The sequence below is a fragment of the Homo sapiens genome, chromosome 3, assembly GCF_000001405.40.
Source record: "Homo sapiens chromosome 3, GRCh38.p14 Primary Assembly".
In the NCBI taxonomy this organism is placed as follows: Eukaryota; Metazoa; Chordata; class Mammalia; order Primates; family Hominidae; genus Homo; species Homo sapiens.
In genome coordinates, this window is record NC_000003.12 from 83,769,404 (window position 1) to 83,770,873 (window position 1,470).

The window sequence follows — 1,470 nt, forward strand, 5'->3', positions numbered from 1 at the left end:
ATTTTAATGGTACCTAACAGAAATTACGTACTCAAAAATGTTATATTATATTAACCATTCTAGGACTTATTCCCAACTCTCCCCTACCCACTGACAAAAACTTTCTCTTGAACCAAACTTCAGTTTGGCTCCTCTGAACCTTCTTCTAGAATAGGCCTCAAACTTGGGCTTCCATGTGCATCCTTACTGAGTCTTGTTTTAGTAGAAATATTGAATCAGTAATTTTTTAAAAATCAAATACATAATCATAATCAAATATAGACAGCATAGGACATATTCCTATAAGTAGAGTTGAATTATAGGAGTGGTCAAATTATAAAAATGCATATTTTATGACAATGACACTGTTACTTTGGTGAACATTAATTTTTTTTAGATATTTTTATTTATTATACTTTAAGTAACACTTCAAAATATTTTCAGATAATACTTATGGCAGTGGCGGGCAGTCTACTTCCGCGGCTACCATCACACTGGTTGCAGCAGCGAGGCCGTGGCTGGGGCTACATTTCACGGAGCCTTTGGGAACCCCACCCCTTCTGAGTTAAGGCAAGAGATCCCCAGGTGCTGCCGCAGCCGCCCAAACCACAGCTGCAGAATCAGGCCTCCTGCTCCATGGACCAGACAGAAGCCCCGCCCAGGAGTGTGGGGCTGCAGCCACCCAAACTGCAGCTGTGGATCCCAGCTCCCCTGTGCTCTTGTAGAGGCCGGAAGCAGGCAGAATCTCTGCCCTCCTGCGTGAAGGTGCAGCCACAGGTCGGCTGCAGACCCGGGCCTCCTGCTCCAGGGAGTAGGCAGGAGCTAGGGACCAGCTTTTTTGAATTAGTGGGCCAGGAACTTTCTGGTACAGCTGCGGAGGCCCTCCTTGGTTCAGCCTGCACCCTTGGGGCCCAGAAAAGTGCCCCACCCCATCCCTACAGGCTCAGGGGTGTCCGCTCCCACTTCCTGGCCTCTCTCTGCTCCCAGCACCTGCTCAGATCTTAGAGAAGGGTTGGGGCCAAGCTTCCAGGCCATGAATGGCAGCAGGAGGCATACGGATTTCTGGGAGGAAGAGGGCGGGACCCAGTAAGTCCCCACCTTCAGGTCAGATAGGGCCTGAAGGCTGGGGGCCAGGCTGCCAGTCCCAAAGACCAGAGTGGGGACTAGTAGTGCCTCTTCCATGCCTGCCCACAGAGCAATCAGCATGCACTTCCTCCCCTCTGAGGTCCATAAAAGCCCAGGGCTCAGCCAAAACAGGGGAGAGGAAGGTCAGAGCAGGACAGAGAGGATGGAGAGAGGACAGGATGACTAGCTGCGGAGAAGAGCTACCCTGTTCTGCTGGCAGCTGGAGATGATGGGAGGATCAGCTGCAGGGAGGAGCTACCCTCTCTCCTGAGAGCTGAACGCTGGAGGAGATGACCCATCTACAGAGAGGCGCTACCCACTGTGGGTCTCCTCTAAGCTGTTGTAACACTCAGCAAAGCTCCTGTT

General features: G+C 51.0%; 1 annotated feature.

Moving 5' to 3' along the window:
- Positions 455–749: a silencer, noted in NCBI's record as "tiled region #1315; HepG2 Repressive non-DNase unmatched - State 24:Quies, and K562 Repressive non-DNase unmatched - State 24:Quies". NCBI's record gives its function as "represses a minimal TATA promoter and a strong SV40 promoter by Sharpr-MPRA in HepG2 and K562 cells {active_cell/tissue: HepG2 | K562}" and the evidence as "EXISTENCE:reporter gene assay evidence [ECO:0000049][PMID:27701403]".